The 23,565-nt window shown below is 52.6% G+C and overlaps 4 annotated features.

Moving 5' to 3' along the window:
• Window positions 2,534-3,039: an enhancer, noted in NCBI's record as "H3K4me1 hESC enhancer chr2:121256367-121256872 (GRCh37/hg19 assembly coordinates)". NCBI's record gives its function as "activates a minimal SCP1, AML or CMV promoter by ChIP-STARR-seq in naive H9 embryonic stem cells {active_cell/tissue: H9 hESC(naive)}" and the evidence as "EXISTENCE:reporter gene assay evidence [ECO:0000049][PMID:30033119]".
• Window positions 7,564-8,065: an enhancer, noted in NCBI's record as "H3K4me1 hESC enhancer chr2:121261397-121261898 (GRCh37/hg19 assembly coordinates)". NCBI's record gives its function as "activates a minimal SCP1, AML or CMV promoter by ChIP-STARR-seq in naive H9 embryonic stem cells {active_cell/tissue: H9 hESC(naive)}" and the evidence as "EXISTENCE:reporter gene assay evidence [ECO:0000049][PMID:30033119]".
• Window positions 15,218-15,837: an enhancer, noted in NCBI's record as "H3K4me1 hESC enhancer chr2:121269051-121269670 (GRCh37/hg19 assembly coordinates)". NCBI's record gives its function as "activates a minimal SCP1, AML or CMV promoter by ChIP-STARR-seq in naive H9 embryonic stem cells {active_cell/tissue: H9 hESC(naive)}" and the evidence as "EXISTENCE:reporter gene assay evidence [ECO:0000049][PMID:30033119]".
• Window positions 15,838-16,456: an enhancer, noted in NCBI's record as "H3K4me1 hESC enhancer chr2:121269671-121270289 (GRCh37/hg19 assembly coordinates)". NCBI's record gives its function as "activates a minimal SCP1, AML or CMV promoter by ChIP-STARR-seq in naive H9 embryonic stem cells {active_cell/tissue: H9 hESC(naive)}" and the evidence as "EXISTENCE:reporter gene assay evidence [ECO:0000049][PMID:30033119]".

Raw genomic sequence — 23,565 nt, forward strand, 5'->3', positions numbered from 1 at the left:
CTAGCCCTGCACTGATAATACGTTCAAAGATTTCTTATCTGTGCCTCTGTGAAGTGGGATGAGGTCAGTATCCACTTCCTATGGAGGTTATGAAAAATAAATGAGTTAATCTGTATGAGGTCCTTGGTCCAGCATCTGACACACGGTAGTGTGACACTCTGAGTGTCAGCTGAGTAAGCACGGCCATCACTGTCGTTTTGCTGGGCACCGAGGGTGGGCTGGCTGGGAAAGGTGTCAGCATGAAGGAAGTCATGGATGACATGGGTGCAGAATCCAGAGCCTGCTTACCTCGCTATGCTTACGGGGCATCCCTACCTAAGGATAAGAGGGAAGGGGGACTTCCATTTAGTGCCAGACACTGGGGCAAGGGCTCACAAAGATCACCGCTGATGCCCATTGCCACCTTGCCAAGGAGACCTTTGTATCTCCATTTTCCTAGTGAGGAATGTGAGGTTTGCAGGCCTTGAGGAATCGGCCAGAACTCCGGCTACTGACTCAGTTCTCCTTCCTCTCCAACCCTCCGCAGGGGTGAAGGGCAGGCTCAGAGGACCCTTCTCCTTCTGCTTCAGCCCTTCCCCAGCTTATCCTGGTGGGCCAAGCCCCGCCCAGGTAGGAAGAGCCCTCTGGTCTCCGCCACACTCAGCTCTCCAGTGCTCTGTCTGTGAAATGGGGGCCAAGGCACCTGCCGATGTGCCCCAGTGGGCTGGGGGCAAGGGCATTGTGAAAGCACATTGGGAATCCTGGCCAGCGCCCATGGACAGAAGGTGCTTGCTGGGTGCCTGCAACATCCCAGCCTTTCATGGTGGAACCCCTTGGGCGCCTTTTCTTCTTACAGTTGGTACATTGGCTCTGGCCTCAAGATCACCACATCCCTCACAAAAGCTAGAGCCCACGTGATTTTTTTCCGTTAAAAAAAAAATCCTTAGTTTAGGCATGTGGACTGTTTGCTTACACATCTGCAAGATCAGCTGTCTTTGCAGTTTAAGTTCAGTGATGCTTGGGGCTGTGGTACCTGCCCTTGGCGGCCCTCAGCTCTGCCCCAGGTTGTCTGGTGAAGCCGCTGGGCTCTGGTCACACTGGCCTGACATCTCTCAGCATCCCCCCAACCCCCACTGAGGCTCTGACTCTTTCTGCCTTGGGCCTTCACATGTTGTCCCCAGCCTGCACACTCCTCCCTCCCCCAGTGTAATTCTCTGCCACCCTTCACATGGCAGCTGTAGAGTCTCTGCTGGGGATACATGTCAGCCATGGGGCAGGGGCTGGGAGGACATTCCCTGGAGACCTTCCTTCACAGCCTGCATTGTTGTGGGATGGATCTGTGAACTTCTGCCACCCAGCTCAGGGAGGTGGTGTCAGGAACGGGGCTGGGCTCTCCTTCCCCTACCATATCCCCAGTGCCCAGTACGGGGCTTGGAACCCTGGAGATGCTCTCTATATAGACAGACGAATGCCTCTTTCCAGGAAGGGAGCTGGCCTGTGTTCCCCTGGCTCTGACAGCTGGGACTCCATGGGCCCAGGGCTGCTGGGCCAGGCCATTGGAAATGACAGCTGACACCTTCGGAGCATGACTAGGTGTCTGGCACCCCTCTGAGCACTTTGCATGTATTAACTTTTATATTCTCCCCAATTACCTACCAGAGAGATACTATAATTAGTCCTACTTTTAAAAACTTTTTATATTGAAATAATTTCACGCTTGAAAAAAATATTGCAAAAATGGTCCAAAAAGTTCCTGCCACACCTTCCCATGGCACAAACGCATGGCACAGTGACCAAAACCAGGACACTGATAACGGTATGACACTGTTGACAATCCATAGATGAGTTTTCCTGTCAATATCCTTTTTCTGCTCCAGGATCTCATACAGGACCACTTTGCACTTGTGGTCCCGTGTCCTTAGAGTGGAGGGTTCTAAGGAGAACCTTGCCTCTGTCCTTGTCTTTCATGACCTTTGCACTTTTGAAGAGTCCTGATCAGTTGTTTTGTGGAAATGTCTCTCAGTGTTGATTTGTCTTATGCTTCCTCATGTTCAAATTCAGATGATGTATGTATTTTTGGGCAAGAAAACCACAGAAGGGAAGCCATGCCCTACTCAGTGCATTGCATCAGGAGCTACTTGATATTGCACGAATCCCATTTTCAAGATGAATAAACTGCAGCACTGAAAAGTCAAGAAACAGATTAGAATGCAGCTAACAGCTCACATCTGTCGAGCACTTGCCCATGCACCTGGGGCATGTATTCAGCCACTTCTACCCCTGGGGCACAGCGAGTGGATCCCCAACTCAGCAGTGAGCAGGGGAGGGAAAGGGTGAGGACAGAGGGTGGTGGATGGGAGCAGCCAGGGTGAAGGACAGAGCCAGCTCCTGCAGCCTCCAGGGAGGGGCCAGGCCCACAGAGGCAGCACTGGGCCACTGTGGTGCCTCTGACCCAGGCAGATAGGGGCAGAGCTCGGGATAGGGGCCGGACCAGACTAAACAAGGCACAACCTGGACTCTCGTTTGGGTGAATCCTCGGCCCCAAGGCTGAGGTTGGCGATAGCGGGGACACAACTGAGGCTTTGCAGGGGGAGCTGAGCTTGCTCTGCAGGCCACACTGAAGGAGTGCCCCCACCGGCCCTCTCCACTGGGCTCTGCTCATGGGGGTGGGTGAGGGGAGAAGGCAAAGTGGGGCAGGGCCCTGGGCCCCCACAGTGTCCCCTGCCAGGCTCCCCCAGCCCAAGCTAGCCATGGGGTTGGAGGGGTGAAGGACGGAGTGACCACAGCTGCCCTGCATTAGGAAAATATGCATTTTAATACAGGTTGCCCACTGCCCTCCCCAGCCTGTTCCCCCGACCACCTACCTCCTCTCTTCAGCTCAACTCAGGGCTCCCCCATGTGGCATCCTGCTCTCCCTCTGTCCAGCCTCCACTCTCTTCCTGCCGCCTGCTCTTCATCTTTTTGAGTGCTTCTCTGGGACCCAACCCATGAGACAACAGCCATCACAGGGCCCCCAGTGCTCCTAGCTCAGGGCACCCTCCAGGAGGCAGCTCCTGCAAGCCTTGCCCTCCACGGTCCCTCAACTCCCCCTCGGCTGCGGGCAGCATCCTGCTGTACCCCAGGGCAAGGGGCAGGATGGGAGATTTAGTTCCTCATAGCCACGGGCAAGGCTGGTAGTATCAGCCCCGCTGTAGGGATGAGGAAACTGAGGCTGCAGCTTCTCTTCAGAGGCTGACAGCGGTCTCTCCTGCTTTTCTTCCTTTTGCCTTGGCAGGACCAGCACAGCTGAAGTTGCTGCCACCTGACTGTGGCCTGCAATTTCCCGATTCCCTCTCCAGGCTTCTCCCCTTCCCACCTCGGCCTCTCTCTAAATCCTACTGAGAGAACCCCAGGTTTAACTTTTCTATTTTTGTCTTCCCATGGTTTTGTTTGCTGTTTCCCTCCCTGCCATCTCTCTTTGGGAGGGAGTGTAATCCGCATAGAGAGGAGAGTCTTTTATATGACTTGAGATTCACAGTAGTTCACAACTCCCACCTTTGTCACCGTCACCCTGGCATCTTGAACCTAAAGTCACTTTCTGCTCTCCATGGCATCTTGAACCTAAAGTCACTTTTATCTTTTGGCCCCGCCTTGCAAGACCCGCCCACTGCTGTGGCCCACTCAGGAATCCCGGACACCAAGTCTATCCCCCGGCATCCCCCTGCACTCCATGCCTTTGAGCATGGAGCATACATTGAGTGCTGGCTTCAAGTTCCCCCACCCAGTCTGAGCCAGAGCCCTGGAGAGAGGGTGGCAGGGACCGATGGACCCTTCTCCAGATGCACACAGCCCAACGTCAGTGCCTCTGGTTGTGACTGTCCCCTACTGTACAGGCATTGGTAGCATCTTTGCCACGTGTACACAGGCTTAGGGCAAAAGTCCCGTGGGCTGATTGGTAAGCTGAAATAGTGCCTTTCAGCCTTACACGTGCTCTGTAATTGCAAGGAAAGCAGCCCGGAGGCCGGCTCCTACCCTCTGGTGCCTCTGCGGTCCCATCTCATCTCAGGTCCCTCCTCTGCTTGTCCCTCCTGGCCCCATGCCCAGTGACCTATTTCCACCTCATTCCCTTCTCTCATCACCTGTGCCCTTCAGCACTTTGCAGTTGAATATGACTCAGTTCCGGCCTTTAAGGGGCCCACAGTGCAGTGGGTTCTCAGGCAGCCTGTGGCCACTGTGCCATGCTGATGTCTTTCCCCTGTGGGCTGGACAGTGGGGACTTTCTGGCTACTGGGCCCATCGTCACATGCACATGCCTTCTTGCTTTTCTCCCTGGAGGCTGGGACAATGTCTTGCCATGGTTCTGTCCCTCATCCCTGGTCCTCAGCCACGGCCATTGCCAGTCAGTGCTTTGTGTATTAGCTGCTTAGTAAATATGCCCAAGGGATGGATTGTAGGCTGTGGAGCAACAGACAAGGGAAGCCCCAGGTTCTGGAGAAGCCTGTGCCCAAAGAGGGGAAGGTATTTGCCCAAGATCACAAAGCTACGGTGGATTTTGTATGTATTGATTGTAGTGCTTTCCAAATGCTCCATTTACTCTGGGATTAAATGAGATATTCCTTGAAAAGCAAATGCTTGACCATAGTAAGCTCTCAATAAAGCTATCTGCTATTGTTGCCATCATTACTTTACATTAGCCTGAGCTACACAAAATTGCCATTTCTGTAGGTCAGCAGTGGTTGAATATTGGCAATTTCATACAGTTCAATGCAATATTTTTCCCCCTCAAAATTGGCGTACTTTGTTTATTAAATGAATATATTTTAAAAGGAACTTTTCATCCGTGTTGTATTAATTGCACTGGTCATAGTAGACGGTAACATGCCCCTACGCACAATGAAAGTAAGGTAATGCTGTTAGATTCTGCTTAGACATTCTTGCCTTCTCAAGACACTGTACTCCCCTTGTTTCAGATGGAGATTAGCAAGAATTCAAGAGGGGCTGAAAGCATTCAGGCCCCACTTTTTCCTTCATGGATCTGAAGAGTTAACAAGACTCTTAAAAATGGAGTTAAGAGGCCGGGTGCGGCGGCTCAAGCCTGTAATCCCAGCACTTTGGGAGGCCGACACAGGTGGATCATGAGGTCAGGAGATCGAGACCATCCTGGCTAACATGGTGAAACCCCGTCTCTACTAAAAATACAAAAAAATTAGCCAGGCGTGGTGGCACGTGCCTGTAGTCCCAGCTACTTGGGAGGCTGAGGCAGGAGAATTGCTTGAACTTGGGAGGTGGAGGTTGCAGTGAGCCGAGATCGCGCCACTGCACTCCAGCCTGTGCAATAGAGTGAGACTCTGTCTCAAAAAATAAAAACAAAACAAAACAGAACAAAACAAAAAACGGAGTTAAGAAACTGTGAAGGCATAACACTCCATCAGGCAGTCAGTGTCACCCCTGGGACCCCCTGAAACTCCTGGAATCTGCCTTGCTGAGGGAACCCCTGATTGGTAGGAGATGCTCTGGAAGGTCGCCTTGAAACGTGGCCGGTACTAAGGCAGCCGAAACAAGGCCTCCCGTGAGCCTGAGCTGAGGCCTGCCCATCTCTGGCCCCAGGCCCACAGCGGAGGGAGGGACCTTCTCTTTGCAGGGTCCAGGGCTGGAAGGAACTGTAAACAGTATCCCATTCAATATTGCGGCTTCCCAGGGATGGACAGCAAGACTCAGAGGAAGAAGGACCTGCCCAGGGTCACACAGCAAATCAGGGTGGTGGGTAGGGACCTCCCAGAACCCAGCCCTCTGAACACTAACCCCTACTCCTTCTGCCCTACTCTAACACCTCCCTCCAAGACCCCTCACTTCTGCTGCCACCACCTGCTCCCCGCCAGGCAGGAGCAGAGGTGCTGGGGGCTTCCTAGGGGATGACTCCCTAGACTGTAACTGTTCTTTTGTTTGTTTGTTTGTTTGTTTTTTGAGACAGCGTCTTGCTCTGTTTCTTAGGCTGGAGTGCAGCGTCATGATTGTAGCTCACTGCCGCCTCCATCTGTGCTCAAGCGATCCTCCTGCTTCAGCCTCCTAAGGAGTTAGGACTGTAGGCATGCACCACCATGCCTGGCTATTTTTTTCATTTTTAAATTTTTCATAGAGATGGAATCCTGTTATGCTGTCCAGGCTTGTAATCGTTCTTGATGAGCCAGTCTTCTTCCCCTCAAGAGGAAAAATGGGGGGTCTCACTCATCTCTATGCCTAGCATAGTGGCTGATGCTGAAAAAACATGTGCTGGACAAAACATCAAAGACCGACCAAGCACCATGAGGTAAGTGCCATTAGCCCATTTTAAAGAAAGAAAAGTTGAGGCCCAAAGAGGTTACATAGCTCACCCAAGGTCACACAGCTGCTAACCAGCGCAGTCAGGCTTAGAACCCGGCTTGGTCCAACACCAAACCCATACTTTTCCCAGCTGATGGTGCTGTCTGACCTCCTTGCATGCCTGCAACGTAGACAGGTCAAAGAGTAGTCCCAATAGCAGACGAGGAACCAAAGCCCTGAGTGGGGACATGCTCTTCCAAGGACACAGAGGTGAGGACCTGAGGCCTAGCCCTAGTGCTCAGCCCTGGGCCCCCAACCAAAGCCTCCTGTCCCCAGCCCCACCCAGGCTAGGTCTCCTGCTAGGTGCACTCTACTGTTCCACCAGCTCCTAGGGGTGTGATGTCACTGCCCCATCCAGCTCCTCTTGCCTGGCCTCTGCTGGAGCCTCCTTCCTGGCCTCTCTGCCCTGACCCAGGCCAGGCATTCTCATCTCCATGCACTGAGCCTTGTGGAAATCAGACCAAGTTCCTCCTGGATGGAACCCCTCCGCTGGCTTGCCTCTCTCCTAAGGACCAACTCATCTGAAGTCCCTGCCGTGGCCCTGCAGGCCATGTGCCATCTAGCCCCACATCCTCCTCATCTCATCTCTTTCTCCAACCCAGACACTCCTGAAGATACCAGACATATTCCACCCATCCTGAGGACTTCGTGTTGGCTGTCCCCTCGACCTGGAAGTCTGCACAGCATTTCATGATGGGGCCACTTCTTATTCATTGATTGCCTGTCTCCACTGCAATATGAGCCCCAGGGAACATCACCCCGGCCTTTGCTGAGGCTGCACCCCCTGCCCCCACCCATCCATGGCCTGCCACGTGGTCACCCTCATTCCACAGTGCAGATCCTCGGCCTCAGCCTGGCACAAGGCTGGGTCCCAGAATCAGCTGCGCCCTTGTCACCCCACCTGGGGCCCCACACACAGGACAAATGACAGGCGTGTCTCCTCGGGTGCTGGGGACCAGCCCTGGAGTGTCCCCCATTGTTCCCAGAAATTAGCAGCGGTTGCCGCATTCAGGGGAAGCACTCCACCCCACGGGCTATGGCACTTGGGGGAGAAGAGAAAAAAGACAAGCAAGATCACCAGGCGGGCCAATGCCGGTGCCTTTTCCCTGCCTGCGATGCACACTTCATTTAATTTTTATAGTGGAGGGAGATGTGGGGTCTTTTGAGCATCGATATCCTCGTGGGCAAGTCTAAGTGTCAGACAATAAGCGGAGGAGCGGCGCTCGGAGCGCGTTGGCCCCGCTGTCAGTCTTGCCCAGATTAACAACTTCATCTGAGCCTTTGTTGATATTGACACTCGGTTGCTAGGTAACATGTTTACCGCTCAATGAATAGGACTTGAGGGCCAGTGGGGGCACAGTCAACAGATTGGCAAATAAGGCAAACGTGCCATGACTTGATGTGCCCATCGTGGTGCCCAAGGGTGCAGAGGATGCTGATCTGCACTGACCCCCGATAGGGCGAGTGGCTGTGGCCTCATGCCCAGGTGGGGAAAGTCCAGGAAAGCAGCGCTGTTTACACCCAGGGCCCAATCTCGTGATGACATAGATGCCCCTGGCCTCTTGACAAGGGTGCTTCTCTCCAGCAACGCTGTGACACGGTGTCCCTGCAACTCTGCTGCCCTGGAGAGGCCCTGCCCGCCTATTGCACCCTCAGCACCTTTGGCAGCTCCTGCCCCCTACTTTATCCCTATCCACAAGGGGTGTGCTGTCCTGAAAGGAACCCACGGCTGGGAGTCAGAAGACTTTGTCACTTCCCTTGGCTGGGAGGCCGTGCATGTGTGACTCAGGCCTTGTGTTGCAGGGCCTGTATGCTGCGAACGTATCCCCTGCCCTGCCTACCTCATCAGGGCATTCAAAGGAAAGGGAGGGCCCACCGTTTATTGAATGCCAGCCCTGCGCCAGGCCCTGTGCTGGGCCTGCTAGTCATTCCCTTTAGGCCTTGCAGCCACCCTGTGAGGTGGGCTGCTGACTGTGAACTCCTTTCTGATGAGTTCCTGTTAAGTGATCAGCCTTGAGGAGTAGTCGGTCTGCAGACTCCAGAACCCTCATTCCACTGTCCCACACAAAGACTTGCTCCTCTGTTCCCCACCTTAAGCTACCTGTTGACTCAAGGGCTGTGTGGAAAGGGGTCAGTCGGTCTGGCGAGCAGACGGCAAGGCCACCACAGGGCTCAGCAATGGGCATTTTGCTGAGCATGTTAGAGAAGCAAGGCTCTGTAAGAAAATCACACGATGTACCCAGGTAACAAACCTGCACGTGAACCCCCCAAATCTAAAATGAAAGTTGAAATTATTTTCAAAATAAAAAATCCCAAAACAAGACCAAAAGAAAATGGTTGGTCAAAACTCAACAAAGAGAAATGAGAATAATCAGACTCTGCACACAGCAGTCAAGACTGCAGGGCACAGAGGGCGCTTCCATGTGGGAATAGGAGGGGGACAAAGAAGCTGAGGAATGACCAGGAGGACAAGGAGGAGGGGAACCTGGACCTGCATGGAGCCTGGGGGCTGCAGCTCCACCATGCCCACCTGCACAAGAAGAAGCGGACACGAATATGCCAGGCTCCGTGTCTGGCGGCAACTCTGCATCCTCCACAGTCAGGCTTGCCCAAGCCACACCTGCGCTCTCCAGTTCTCACCTGAGTGGAGGCCCAGACAGCCTCCACATAGAGCCCTGATGGAGGGTCTATCATTCATTCATTCACTCCACACATATTTGGACCTTCTGTCTGCCAGGCTCTGCAACTGTTGCAGCTGTCGCTATGAAGGACACAAGCCAGGTCCCCACTTTCACGGAGACTTCGATGTGGCAGAGAAGGTGGACATGAGACACCTGATAATTACATACCGACATATCTCATGACAATTGCGCTATGTGCTGTGGGGAAGCTGTGCATTAAGGTGGAGGAGCTCACCTCACCCAGGGGCCACAGGCAGCTCCCTGGAGAAGCCGCGATGAAGCTGAGACAGGAAGGAGGAGCTGCAGGTGTCCAGCTGACTAGGGAGGGCGGGGACGTCCCTAGGGTGAGAAAGACACTGAAATGTTGGAGGAACTGGGAAAAGCCCAGTGTGATTGGAGCCAAAATTCAAGGTGGGAAAAGAAGTGGAGAAAGAGTCAGGGGCTGGATTCTTCAGGCCTTGCCGGCCATAGTGAGCACTTGGATTTTGTTCTAATAGCAAAATAGTGATGGGGAGCCATGAGGGGCATTAGCAGGAGGAGGATACACTGGGATTCCAGGTGCTTTTATAGGCTCTAAACGAATGAGGTCCACGGCAGCCAGGATGCAGTACCAGGGTGGGCTGACCAGGTGGGATGCCCCTGTCCACAGGACCTACTTTTGGGAGCTACTCTAGGACAGGGAGCCCCAGCCTTGGTTAGGTCTCTGTTTATTCCTACTGTCTGGCTGGAAACCTGCAACACAGAAAAGCTTAGTACATGATTGCTAGGTTGTAGGGAACAATTTGAGAGACCCCCACGCTTTAAATATACTGTGTAACTATGAGGTATCCAGCCATATTGCCCCCAGTCCCCACCCCAGCTTTATTGATCCGTGCCCCTGGCCTCTGTCAAAGCCTGCTAGACGCCTATGCCTAGGGCCCTTCCCTGATACCCCTGACTGCTTCAGTCCTTGAGCTGCACCACCACCCCTCAGCCTTCCCGCAGGCTCCCAGGGCAGCAGGCTCCCTGTGATTGACATTTACATATAATGGATGATGTACCCTAGAAGGCCAGCAGTTTTTCTTGCATCTTTTTTGCACCAAATACTTTCTAAATACACAATTTCCTGACTTAAAGATAACTGAACTATATCTATTCACCCACACATCATCTTCACATCAATACTTAAACTGTCTTAAAGACATCATAACAGAGAGGCAGGAGGGCTGCTTGCAACAGAGATGAATAAACCCCTTACTGTGGCAGGGTCCCTATGGTGGTCCCACATATGTATGGGACATGCGCCACCGCTCCATTCCCCACCCTTGGCAGGCATTGCTCTTTCCTGCTGCGTCTGGTTCAATGTCATGACCCTTGACACTTCACTGGAGGCAGCCACAACTAACGAGTTGGTATTGATGCTTGAGACTAAACGTCTCGCCTTCAAGCTGCTGTGCTGGAGTTTCTCTCAGCCATCTCCCACTCTCTAATGATCATCCCCGTGTCCTCCTGCCGTAGGTGGGTCTGGTTGCTGCCCCCTTCTTCCTATTTTCTTCCACAACTCCTTGCGCCTCTGTTCCTCCTTCTACTACTTCTTTCCACCTCTCTCAATCTTGGCTTCTAGAAGCAGCAACAAGCCCAGAGAGGTGCTGGATCACCCGTGTCTCCTTTAGCCGTCAGAGTTTGGACCTTCAGGCAGAAACGGCTTCTCCTGGGAGGACGTTCAGCAGCTGAGAGCTAGATGAAAGGCTCAGGTTTTTGGTTTGCTGTTTGGGTAATTTACTCCCTAGAAACTTCTTTAGTGCTTTTATGTGTTCCTCCTCCTCTGCAACCTTTTTCAAGGGAGGAAAAAAGAAGGGAACGTGCAGCTATTGAGAATCATATTTTCATATGTCATTTATTCCTTAAGACAACTTTTTCAGATGCGGCTTCTTCCCCCGTTTTACAGATAACAGAGCTGAGGCTCAGACAGATTGAGTGACATTACTGAAGGTGGCTTCGCTTGTGCCTTGCCTGGAAAGGCAGTCCCAGCCCACTGTGTACTGCCTGCCATGGTTCCAGCCTTCACTGCTTCTCTCGACCAGCTTCATCCTGTCATTGTGTCAGGTTCCCATTGCTGCCATGGGTGTCACAGGGCTTTCCAAAAAGCAAAGGTTCTTCATTTTGGTGAAATCCAATTTATCATGTTTTTCTTTTATGGGTGTGCTTATGTGTCATAGTAAGAGATCTTTGCATAACCCCTGGTCACAAAGATTTTCTCTTATGCTTTCCTCTAGATGTTTTGTGGGTTTAGGTTTTATATTTAGGTCTATGATCCATTTGAGTTAATTTTTGGACAAGGTTTGAATAGCGGTCCAGATTTATTTCTTTGGACCTCCAATTGTCCAAACACCATTTGTTGAAAAAATGACCTTCATCGAATTGCCTCTATCTTTGTGGAAAATCAATTGACCATACGTGCGTCCTACTATTTCCGAACTATCTGTTCTTTCCCATTAGTCTATGTGTCTATCCATCTGCCAATCTCACACTATCTTGATTATTGTCTCTTTATAATGAGCCTGGAAGTCAGGGAATATGAATCCTTTAATTTTGTTCCTTTTTGAACTTGTTTTAGCTCTTCCAATGCCCTTGGGTTTTCATAAAAATTTTAGAACTACCATGCCAATTTCTAGCTTTTAAAAACCTTGCTAAAACTGGTTGGGTTTGTGTTGACTCTATTGATCAACTGGAGGAAAACTGACCTCTTAAGGCCTTGGAGATTTTTGTTTGTTTGTTTTGTTTTTGAGACAGAGTCTTGCTCTGTTGCCCAGGCTGGAGTGCAGCAGCATGATCTCGGCTCACTGCAGCCTCTACCTCCCAGGTTCAAGCTATTCTCATGCCTCAGCCTCCTGAGTAGCTGGGATTACAGGCACGCACCACCACGCCCAGCTAATTTTTGTATTTTTAGTAGAGTTGGGGTTTTGCCATGTTGGCCAGGCTGGTCTCGAACTTCTGACCTCAGGTGATCCACACACCTTGGCCTCCCAAAGTGCTGGGATTACAGGCTGGCCTTGGAGATTTTAATCAACATTTTATTCCTGGCTCTTGTCCCCAAGCCACAGTCCTTAAAAGGCTCAATTGAAAAAGACAAGTAAGTCAAGCTATAGTGGAGAAGGCTGGGAAGAAAGGTTAACGCTGGCAAGTCTGCTGTGTATACAGATACCAAAACAGAAATCTTGTTAACATTCGACAATCCTGGTGTCAAAAATCCCACAGCCAAGCCCACTTTGGGGGAAGCTCCGAAGACTCTGGTTAAATGCCAATGCTGAGGGGAAAGGGTCACCCAGGGCATTCTTTATTGGCCTTTAGTAACTCAGCTGATGCCATGCCTCAAAGGGCTCAAAGGAGAGCAGATGTTGGTGGGGGCGGGAGCATGGGCCTTGGAGTCCTGCAGGGCCTGGCTCAGACCCCAGTTCTGTCTCTGCCAACTGTGTGACCCCGGGCAAGCCACTTAATCTCTCTGAGCCTCGATTTCCTCTGCTATACCCCGAGCTGCAAGGCTGTTTTCAGGAATAGATATATAGTGCATTTAACACAAAGTAAGGTCATCATAAGCAGGAAGTATTTTATTATTATCATTATTATTATTGGCCTGGGACCCAGACAGCATAAGGAGCGAAGGAGCTTGGGGTGGACGGGCCTTGGCTGGCCCTGCAGGTGGGGTGTGGAGGCCACAAAGCAGCAGAAGGAACCTGGTGAGTCACTCTTCCTTGGGCGTAGCTTTTACTTGCTTTTTTCAAGGGCATTTGAAGAGGTGAGAGGAAGGGATGAAGAGAGTGCAGGGGGCTTACAGGATGGGGATGCTGGCTTTGACCTCCTGGGCCTTCCTTCAGTACACATCCACTGAGCATCTACAACACAGCATGTCCTGAAGCTACTCACTGTGTCCAATGATGCTGAGAGGCAGGCCCTGGCCTGTGGGGTCCCCATGACCTGGGTGAGCAGTGTGCTGATGGAATGGGCCACCACACTGCAGGACCAGAGAAGAGGGACTCAGGCTGTGCCCTCTGAGACAGCTTAGAGCAGACCTTACACAGAGGGGAGGCTTGGCTGCAGTCATGAAGGGTGATCAGTTCACCCAGGAGACAAGCCGCAGAGGGCCCTCCAGATGGCAGGAGTGGCATGGGCAGGGCTTGGGATCCTGCGTAAGTGTGGAGGCTGGAGTGCATGCCTTGGGGATGCCGGAGCCTAGCTGTGCTCGGTGAGAGGGAGGCTGCAGGGAAGGAGGATCGGGATGCCGGTGGAGCTGCTTGATCCTCTGAAGACAGGAGGCCATTGAGGGCGCTTCCACGGGGATTGGTGAGACCAGATCCAAGTACCAAAAGCATCATTCTGGGGACCAGGACTGGAAGGGGAGGCTGGATAAACAGCTCAGGGGAGGAACAGAAGGGCCAGAAGATAGATGGATGCGTAGTTTCCCCGCCCAGCAATGTCGCCACCTGGCTGTGCGCTGCACCCTCAGTTTCCCCATCTGTGAAGGGGGGATTGCCCTGAGGGATCTTAGTAGCCCCTCCCGCTCCGAGATGCTGCAGCACTCCTCTCTGGGCCCCCACACAGCTTTGCCTCTCAGGCCAGCCCTTGGAAACGATGCTGGGTGAGGCTTGGAGGGTTTCAGGAGGAAGGGTTTCTGCGTGACCCTGCCACCCCCTGGCATGGCTGCAATGGCTACAACTGAGGGGCCGTAGAATCTGGCTTCTGTGAGTTATCCCATTAATATTCCCTCCAGGAAGCTTTGCCAGACAGGGAGGAGGCAGGGGGCAGATGGGGCACTGAGAGGCCAAGTAATCTGCTTAAGGTCACCCAGCAAAGCAGCAGCAAGCTGGACCGGGCCCCAGGCCTCCAGATGTCCAGTCTGATGCCCTGCCCACTGGACCATGAGGCCTTTAATGAGGCCACCTCCATGGGGGCTGTGGGCTGGCCCACCGCCCAGGGCCGATGACTTGCCAGGCATCCCAATCAGCCACTCCGGAGAGGCCCTGCCCTTGGCGGCCATGCACAGAGGCTGGGTGTGAGCATGCCAGCTGAGACTGGAGGCTCTGCAAGGTAGCCCCTAGGTCTGAGCATGCCCAACCCTCCATCCAGGACCCCTGAGGAACAGGGTTCTACATCCAGAAAGAGGCCAGCCACGTCTCAGGGGCTGGGGTGCTGCAGGCATCATCACTCACAGGTCCTCCAAGCTGGGCCTCGGCACCTGGGCCAGGGTCCTGGGGGGATGACCCCAGCCCGCTTGAGCTGCTGAATTTGCAGTGCGTGTTGCTGGCATCCATGGCCAGCACTGTCTGCCTCTATACTCCATTCCGGAGCCCAGAGCCAGGGCTGCATGGTGACCCCTGCACCCAGCCCTTCATGGACAGAAGACAACACAGAGTGTCAGAGGGGGCAGGACTGGGCCTGGGTCACATGGGGAGATGGTGAAAAAGGCAGGGCTCAAATAGGGTCTCCTGGCTTCCAGGCCAGCTTCCTGCATTGCCCTATAAAGTCTCAGCTTTGTCTTCATCCTAATAACACCTGGAAAAGCCACCTCCGCTGAGCCATAACCAGGACCCATGGGCACTGGCTGAGCTTCTGGGGGCTCCCTGTTTCTCTCTGGGCCTTGTTCTCAGGGTGAAAGCAGACCGCCCGGGACTTCTGATCCTGCAGCCCAGGGCAAAAGCACACAGGGCAGACCAGAGCAGAGGGGCTGCAGCCTCACCCTGGTGCTACTGGTGGGATATGGAGAGTAAACAGGGGAGGCTGCCCAGGCCGCACAGCACTGTCAGGGGCCTAGGTTTGAATCCGAGCTCTGCCACCTCTTCAGCTCTCATACTCTTGGGTTGCATTTGCATTTGGGAATTGGACAGTGACACACGACAGAAGGGCCTAGGAGACCCCTTTCTCCAAAGTTGAGTCTCCTTGGGACAGCCTGGGGGGCGGGTCCAGGTGCCGGGGCTCCAGGGCAGCCAGGAGCATGGCAGACCTCATGGCCGGGAGGTGGCTCTCTCTGCCTGCCTCCCGCCCCAGCATAGCTGGCAGCCGGACCCAGCAAGGGCTGGGGGTGCCATTTCTTTCCCAGGGCTTAACCTCCCCCTCCTCTTCCCTTTTCTCTCTTTGGTTTCAAGACCCCCCCCCCACCCCCCCAACACACACACCTCAAAGAGACTCAATTCATTTAATCCCCTCCCCCACCCTATCCCGGGCCCTTCCAAGAATGCTCCCGGCCTGCCCCCCATTTCCCCTTGCCCCAGCCGTTTAGGGGGTGGACAGGAGCGAGTCACTGAAAGAGGGCAAGGGAGGGGTAAAGTAAAAAAGCACATGCCCAACCACAACAACAAAACCCCCCAGCACCCCACATTATGCTCCACAAAGCTGGAAATACACAACAAGCCGGCATCTGTGTGGAATAATAAAAGCGGGTGTGGACGTGTCGTTCTCACAGGGCATTTGGCTGAGCCCGGGCAACGCGAAAGCATGCATAGTTAACGCTCCTGACTGTGTGAAACCCTTTGTCGCGGCACCGGCTCCGCGAGGGACCCAGGGCCCGGGGCTTGGCAAGGGCCCGAGACATTTCTTGGAATGGTTTCGTGTTCATCACTGACACTCGTAATGAGAAATTTATACACCATCCTAAGCGGATAAATTAATTTCAAACACTTTAGACTTTGGAAGACAATGGTTCCTGGCAGGACCCTTTATCACCCATTTTATTAAAAAAAAAAAAAAGAAAGAAAGAAAGGGAAGAGAAAAAACCCTCAGGACGTTGCAAACAAAACCCCTATGCCCGGCTCTGGAGCTCGCTGTCCAGGGCTGGGGAGGACCCGCTCGGTCCCCATGTGGGCTGGGGGCCTGTGGGTCACTTTGAAACTTCATTAAAGGGTGTGCAGCTCCCCAGGCTGTCCCCTCTCCCCTGGGGAGCACAGCTTCCGCTCACCCCTGGCTCCGTTTGAAGTTGGCATTCTGGCCAAGGAGTTGGGTTTCTCAGGCTGCGTTTGTGAAAGGTAATTAAATTGTGATAATGTTTCCATTCAGACCCCAGCTTGGGTGAAGCGTGGGGACTCGTCAGATAGACATGTTCTCGCAGTCCACTAAACACGCAGGCCAGCCTGGCAGGAGCCCCTGCCAGGGCCTGGGGGTGGGGTGTCCTGAGCTTCCCACCCAGCCAGGGACCAGCCTGCTCGAGCCATGTGGAAATGAGGGTCGTCAGGAGGAGCAGGCAGCAATGCAGGGTCTCTGCCTAGAGTCCCCTCTGGGTGGCACTGCTTGATGCACCTGCCGGTGACCCGGCCAGTCACTGTGGGTGTCAGAGGGAGGAGGAAGGGTGCTGGTCTCTGCGTGGGCATGAACTGGGTTCTGTCTCAGGCCCCAGACCCCTCAGCTTCCTCCCTCTGCTGGTCAGAAGGGTGTGCGGAGCTCCTTGAGTCTGCACCCCACCTGCCCGAGCTTCCCTCCTGCAAACCTCTCCTCCTGGCAAGCCCCTAGCTCTACTCTGACCCTAGCTTCCCCGTGTGCCACCCACCCTTCACTTCCACACCTACCCCTTCAAAGGCCCCCAGTCACCTCTGTTCAGCAGCTCTCAACCTTTGCCAAGTTGGAGCACACATAGAAAATTAGTGACTTGGCCAAGCACAGTGGCTCATCCCTGTAATCTCAGCACTTTGGGAGGCCAAGGAGGGGCGGATCACTTGAGGTCAGGAGTTCCAGACCAACTTGGCCAATATGACGAAACTCCATCTCCATTAAAACACACACACACACACACACACACACACACACACACACACACACACACACACACAAGCCAGGTGTGGTGGTACGCACCTGTAATCCCAGCTACTCGGAATGCTGAGGCAGGAGAATCACTTGAACCCAGGAGGCGGAGGTTGCAGTGAGCCTATCGTGCCACTGCACTCCAGCCTGGGTGACAGAGTGAGACTCCGTCTCAAAAAAAAAAAAAATTAGTGACTTATTCAGTGCTTTGGAGTCAAGAGGAAACATTAAGGGTGCTACAGGGGAAAATTATATTTTCTCTACTTTATAAAGTGATGCTAAGAAAATGAAAGTAAAATGTAAAAGGGAGAATAACATATAACACATTTATATAAGCTTCCAAAACAATTTTTAAAAAACTATTAAATGAGAAGCAGCTTCTTCCATGAACAAAACTTGCTTTTGTATAAGGCTTAATGCTTAAGGTGGCCTCATGGGATTCCAGAGCAAGAGGTTTCTTATTTGTTCTTTATTTTTTTAAATTTTGAAATAATTACGGATTCACAAAAAGTGGCACAAACAGTACAGAGAGGTCTTATCCACCCATTACCTAGCCTCCACCCGTGGTGATAGCTTACATCACCACAGTGCATTTCCAAAACCAGGAAACTGATCAAGAGTTTTTAATGGCAAGGCCTTCAAACTCTTGATCATGCCCTTGAATGAGAAATGTAAATTCACACAAGCAGGTGATACAAATTTAAAACCAACTTATAACCGTTGAAGCTAGATTTAAAAAGCCTAACAACTGCCCTTCCTTTTCTCTCCTTGACAAATGTGACATGGAACTGTCTGGCTGTACAAGCGGTTGTCCTGTTCTGCTGGATTTTTTTTTTTTTTTTTTTTTTTTTTTTGTGAGAAGTGTTTTTCAATGATGATGAAGCAGCTCTGGTTTTCACAGTTGGCTCAGTGGCTCGCCCCTGGCGCAGGCACGGCTGAGGGGGCCCACGGCCTACTTGACTGCAGTGGGGCCTTGGGGATGGCCCAGGTCTGTGCGCCTGGGAGCTCCTGCTCAACTTCTACCCCTGTACCCCCACCCCTAACCCTTTTCCTGCCTGGCCACCCTGCATCTCCAGCTGCGACGTTATGAACCCTTCAGCCATGCTGTTAGCCAGCTCCTACTGTTTGACATCTTTGCTTCATCAGCATCTCCTCCAGGAAGCCCTCTTGGATTTGTCCCATTTTTTCCCTCATGCTGTGGTGACCTCTGTCATCACCAGATCATACTACATGGTTCTTTTTGTTAATTGGTCTGTCTGCCACAGAAGTGTGGCATCCTGAAGGCAGGGCCGGGCCTGATTCTTCTTGGTGCTCCCTGCACCCTACTCACGGCCTGGCACACAGTAGGTACTTGGCGTTTGTTAGATGCAGAGCCAAGGGCTCACTGTGATCACTCATTCTCTCCCTGAACACTGCCTATGACAGAGTGCTCCCTGCTTTGCAAACCCCTTCAATGTGCACAATTGTTAGAAGATTCTTCCTGTAATGGCTTGAAGTATCCTAGTCCCAGCTCTGCCCTCTGGAGTATTTTCCCAGGCAGCCGTGATTCCTCAAACAAGCTCAGCTGAGCCCCCGTGCTCCTAACACCAAGTCCTCTGGAACCCAGCGCTCTTCTCTAGGCTGCTCAGGATGGAGTGGCCCCCATGCGGGAAGGGGAGGAGCAGTCGTGAGCCTAGTGCCTGGGCCATCACCTGCTTCAAGCATCCCTCCTTCTCCAGGGTCAACAAAGTCCTGCACTTGAGGAGCCCTCATCTAGCAGGGGACAAGTGGAACAAGTAAATGCACAGAAAAGCAGAGCGTGGCATGGCCGGCCTGCTGCCTATCGCTGTCTGTTCCCCTCAGTGTGCAGTTGCCTCTATTCCTGAGGCCTTTTCCTTGAAGGCTTCTGCTGAGCCAGCTGCCCCCTCCCTGGCTGCCCTCGTCCCTAGCACCCCTCCTCTGCAGATCCTTCTCCCCAGCTCTCCCTCCTCCCCCATTCCCCCTCTTCTTTCACTCTCCCTTTTCCCTCACTCACCCTCCTCCCCAGTTCATTCCTCCTTAGCTCATAGTCCTCCCTGGCACCACCTTCTTCCCAGGTCCCCGCTTTCCAAATTTCCTTCCTCCTCTCCAATTCCCCTTCTGCCCCACCTTCTCCTCCTCTCCAGCTCACCCTCCTTCTCAGTTCTCCCCACCTGCTCCCTCTTCTCCTTGGCTTTTCCTCATCTCCACTCTCCCTCCTCCCTGACTCTCCCTCCTCCCTGACTCTCCCTCCTCCCTGATTCTCCCTCCACCTGGACTCTCCCTCCTCCTGGACTCTCCTTCCTCCCTGACTCTCCCTGACTCTCTCTCCTCCCTGACTCTCCCTTCTCCTGGACTCTCCCTCCTTTCTGACTCTCCCTCCCCTCTGACTCTCCTTCCTCTCTGACTCTCCCTCCTCTCTGACTCTCCTTCCTCTCTGACTCTCCCTCCTCCTGGACTCTCCCTCCTCCCTGGCTCTCCCTGACTCTCTCCTCCCTGACTCTCCTTTCTCCTGGACTCTCCCTCCTCCCTGACTCTCTCTCCTCCCTGACTCTCCCTCCTGCCTGATTCTCCCTCCTCCCTGATTCTCCCTCCACCTGGACTCTCCCTCCTCCCTGACTCTCCCTCCTCCTGGACTCTCCCTCCTCCCTGACTCTCCCTGACTCTCTCTCCTCCCTGACTCTCCCTTCTCCTGGACTCTCCCTCTTTTCTGACTCTCCCTCCCCTCTGACTCTCCTTCCTCTCTGACTCTCCCTCCTCTCTGACTCTTCTTCCTCTCTGACTCTCCCTCCTCCTGGACTCTCCCTCCTCCCTGGCTCTCCCTGACTCTCTCCTCCCTGACTCTCCTTTCTCCTGGACTCTCCCTCCTCTCTGACTCTCCCTCTTCCTGGACTCTCCCTCCTCCCTGACTCTCCTGATCTGCCCTGAATCTCCCTCTGGTCAGTGTCCTCCCAACCCTGTTGTTGGGCCCTGCACTGCCGAGGCTCAAAATGTAAATGATCACCTTGTATTAGGAATGATGTGACTTTGACACTCAAAGTCTCTGTGCCTCAGTTTTCCTTATCTACAAAGTTAGAATAATGACAGCACTTGCGTAATAGGATTGTTGTAAGGATTAGACTAGGGAATATATGCAAAGAGTTTAGAACAATGCCTGACACTCAATACATGTCTTAGCTATATTAGCATTTTCCAAAATTGCCTAATTCATTTTCTTATGTATTTTGTAATTGTTTGCTTCCCCCAGAACCTTACTTTCCCTGGCCTGGAAGGGCAAGATCCCCCTTGGGTACCCCTATTCCCACTGTATAAACAGGACCTAGAATGTGCAAGGCACATATTAGGTGTCCATTGGATATCAGTTGAATAAAGGATTGAACAAAAGCCTGAAAATGATTCCTTCCTGGCCTTCTCCAGGCTCTTGAGAGTCTCAGATGCAGCAACAGGAGCTGCTGTTTCACACACAATTCCAGGAAAAGCTCTGCTGGATTTCCATTCAAATTCTGCCTCCACTCCCTCCTAGCCACGTGGCCTTCGGCAGGTCACTTAGCCTGTCTAAGCCCCTCAAATGTAAAACAAAAATATAAAACTGCCCTAATCTCATGGAGTGGTTGTGAGGATTACGTGAAAGTAAGTTTATCAAAAGCCTGATAATTTTTGTCTTCTGCTGAGTAGTTCTTTCTGTCATCTGAACAATTGATAAGTGGATTCTCTAAGTCCTTATTGGATGCATTGATGATAATACTCTGGGGCAGGAGTAGATCACAGGAACCAAGCCTGCAGCCACTCTGCTGGACACCTCAGCCGGGCTGACTTGGGGCCAGTGGTCATTCCCGTTTGAATACAATCATTTAACCAGTTCAAAGTCCAATGACCTGTTCTAATGTCCCCTCAGCATTTCCCCACTTCCTCCACAAGCCCAGTGGAGCCTAGGAATGATCCAGGTGGATGGTATCACGGATCCAGTACCTCTAACATGAGAAATTCTTGCAAATGCTTGCTTAAAATAGATATACTTTCTGTTGGCTGCTGCCCCTGACCTCTGAAGCTCATATGTTCACCGCGAGAGGAAAAGGGGAGTTTGTTGCGGTCTATTCTCAGAAGAAACACATTCCTTCCAAATTCTTTCCAAATCCTTCTCCAAATTTTAGAAGAGAATGTAGTGGGCTTATGGGGGAAGGAGAAGAAAAGTAGTGGTTTCTTTTTCCAGCTCTCTTGGAAAGCCACATCTCATGTGAGTCTCACATGCAGTATTTATTATCCCATTTCACAGATGGGGGAAGGCAGGCTCAGGGACTCATACAAGGTCACACAATCCAGAAAGATTCTCTCCCAGCTCCATCTAGTTCCAAACCCTTTTCTCTTTCCCCAGTACCATGCTGCCTCCCACCAGCTGTAGTTACTTAAAATGTGCTTGCTTCCTGTCTGGGGGATGATCAATTTGGTTGTGTATCCAGGCTCCAGCTCTCCAGGATTCCTCCAAGGTTTTTGATGGAGGGGCTGAGTTCACATCCACAAATTCCCCTGGTATCCTGGGAGGTCATTTGTCTGGGCCAAGAAGCTGGAGCTCATTTGAGGCCACCCTGTGCTCTTCAACCCTCCCCTCCCTATCCTGTGGCTGCACTTCCCTCTTTGCGATATGGAGGCGGCACACCTGCACTGGACGACCCTTCTTTTGACTGCCACAGGGAGCCACAGCCCTCTCTGCTCTGAGTCCCCACCATGTGAAAATTACTAAGTCTTCAACATGCTGTTACTCATAGGAGCAATGGCCAGTACATGAGAAAGGCCTCATTTCAAATAAATAATGGCCACCGTTGACAATGGAAGTATAAACATGACCCAATACATGAATTGCTCATCATTGTCCCTGTTAATAGACACTCATCTTTACTGTGCACACAGGTGGTCTAAGGCTGATGCTCACAAGAGGACAACGAGTAACATTAGCTGGGAGGGGCCAGTGAGTGCTGAGGTCAGCTAAACTGCAAATCAAGGGAGAGAGGCTGGCATTCCCTCAACCCCAAACCCATATAACAGGGTGACTGGGTCAACTTAATTGGGTTGCTCAGGAGAGCAGCAATCAGGAAGTGTGGGCTATGCTCACATCCTGGGTGGGAGAATGCTTTCTCTGTTTAGTTCAAAACAGATGGGTCCTTGGGAGACAGATACACACATGCCCACTCACACACACACACATGCGAACACACACCCATGCACACACGCATGTACTCATGACACTACACATGTGTGCACATGAGAACACATGGATATGCATGTGTTTGCACACACACCTGTGTGAGGTCCACTCGGATTTTTCAAAGGACCCCATCCAGTTCTGTGTTTCCTTACACTTTATCGCCCAGTATTGATGTCTCTTATAGCCAGAAGAGGTCTCAGGAATCGACCAGTTCAACCCTCTTCTTTAGTGTTTTATTGGCAATAAAATGAGGCCATGAGAGGGGCGGCGACCCTCCCAAATGACATATGACGAGTTGAAAATGCTGAGTGGTCCCTGGGTCTCCACACCTGCAGCCCAGAGCCTCGCGTGGATGCCCTCAGGTTGCTAGTGTGTCCTGGCTCCAGGCTGCAGCCTGTCTGTGAGGGGGAAGAGAGGTCTGCAGAAGAAGGTCATGAAATGGTGAATAGTGGCAGGAGAAGTTCCTGAGAAGCTGCTGGAGGCATAGACACTGAGCTGGACAGTTTCTATCCACAGTCTTCTTTAAAACTCCAACAACCCTATGAGAGGAAAGCCACCATTAATTTACAGATGGGGAAACTGAGTCTTGCAGAAGCTAAGGCTCTTGCCCAAGGTCAGAACTGTTCAGCAGCAGAGCTTGGTGGGGATTTGGGGTGTACTCAGATCTGCTTCAATCTTTCTGCTGCACCTGGGGATGGCCCCGAGGCCAATAACATCCCTGAGGCAGAGCGGCCCCTTGGGCAGCCTTTCACCCTGCACACAGAAGTGGGTGTGAGCCCCAGCATGGTCATCTGCCTTCAGGCCCAAGCATCTTCTCTCCAAGTCCCTTCCATCTTGGCAGTGCTTCTTCCCAAGGCCAAGCCCACGCAAACCCAGCGATGGCTCTCCTTGCCTTGTTCCTGGCCATTCAAGAGCCTTCTGAAAGCCCAGCTCTCCTATCCTCAGCCAGTTGACGGTATCTACTGAGTTCAGAAGCATCCAGGCACTGTACTTCCCATGTGACTGTGGTCTCGTGGCTGTTCTGAGCTTAGTGCCCCTATCTACTAAGTGGACACAGTAATACCTACCTTGTAGGTCTTCAGGGAGAGCAAACGAGGCCACATCAGCAAGCAGGAGCTCTGCCCACAAACCCTCCTTCCCTCTCCTCCTTCATTCTCCCCAGTGGGAGCTGGAGTGGTCAGAGCCACTGACCCTGCACTGGGGTCAGAAGAGGGCCTGCCGCCTGTCAGGACCCTGCTGGGGGTTCTCAGGGCTCCCTGAGGATTGAGGCTCCCTCCTGTGCCCCCTCCTTTCCCTGTGCCTGGAGCAGCCTTTCTGACCGCCTTTGACCAGGTGTGCCCTCCTGTCCTCATGGCTCAGATCAAGTGCACCTCCTGCAGGGAGTGCCCTGAACCTGCTGAGTTAGGCCCCCTCCACAGGGCTCTCCCCGCCCCAAAAGAGTCATCCTCTTCATCGGAGCTGTCACTGTCTGGGTCCCCCTCCACTGTGAGCCCCTGGGGAACACAGGCTAGGCCTGGTGAACCCCTGGGGCTCAGGTAAGGTCTTCCAGATGAGTGCATGGAGTACTGAGGCCTGGAATAAAGTGAGTCCTGGGCACGTGTTGGC

Source organism: Homo sapiens, chromosome 2, assembly GCF_000001405.40.
Source record: "Homo sapiens chromosome 2, GRCh38.p14 Primary Assembly".
In the NCBI taxonomy this organism is placed as follows: domain Eukaryota; kingdom Metazoa; phylum Chordata; class Mammalia; order Primates; family Hominidae; genus Homo; species Homo sapiens.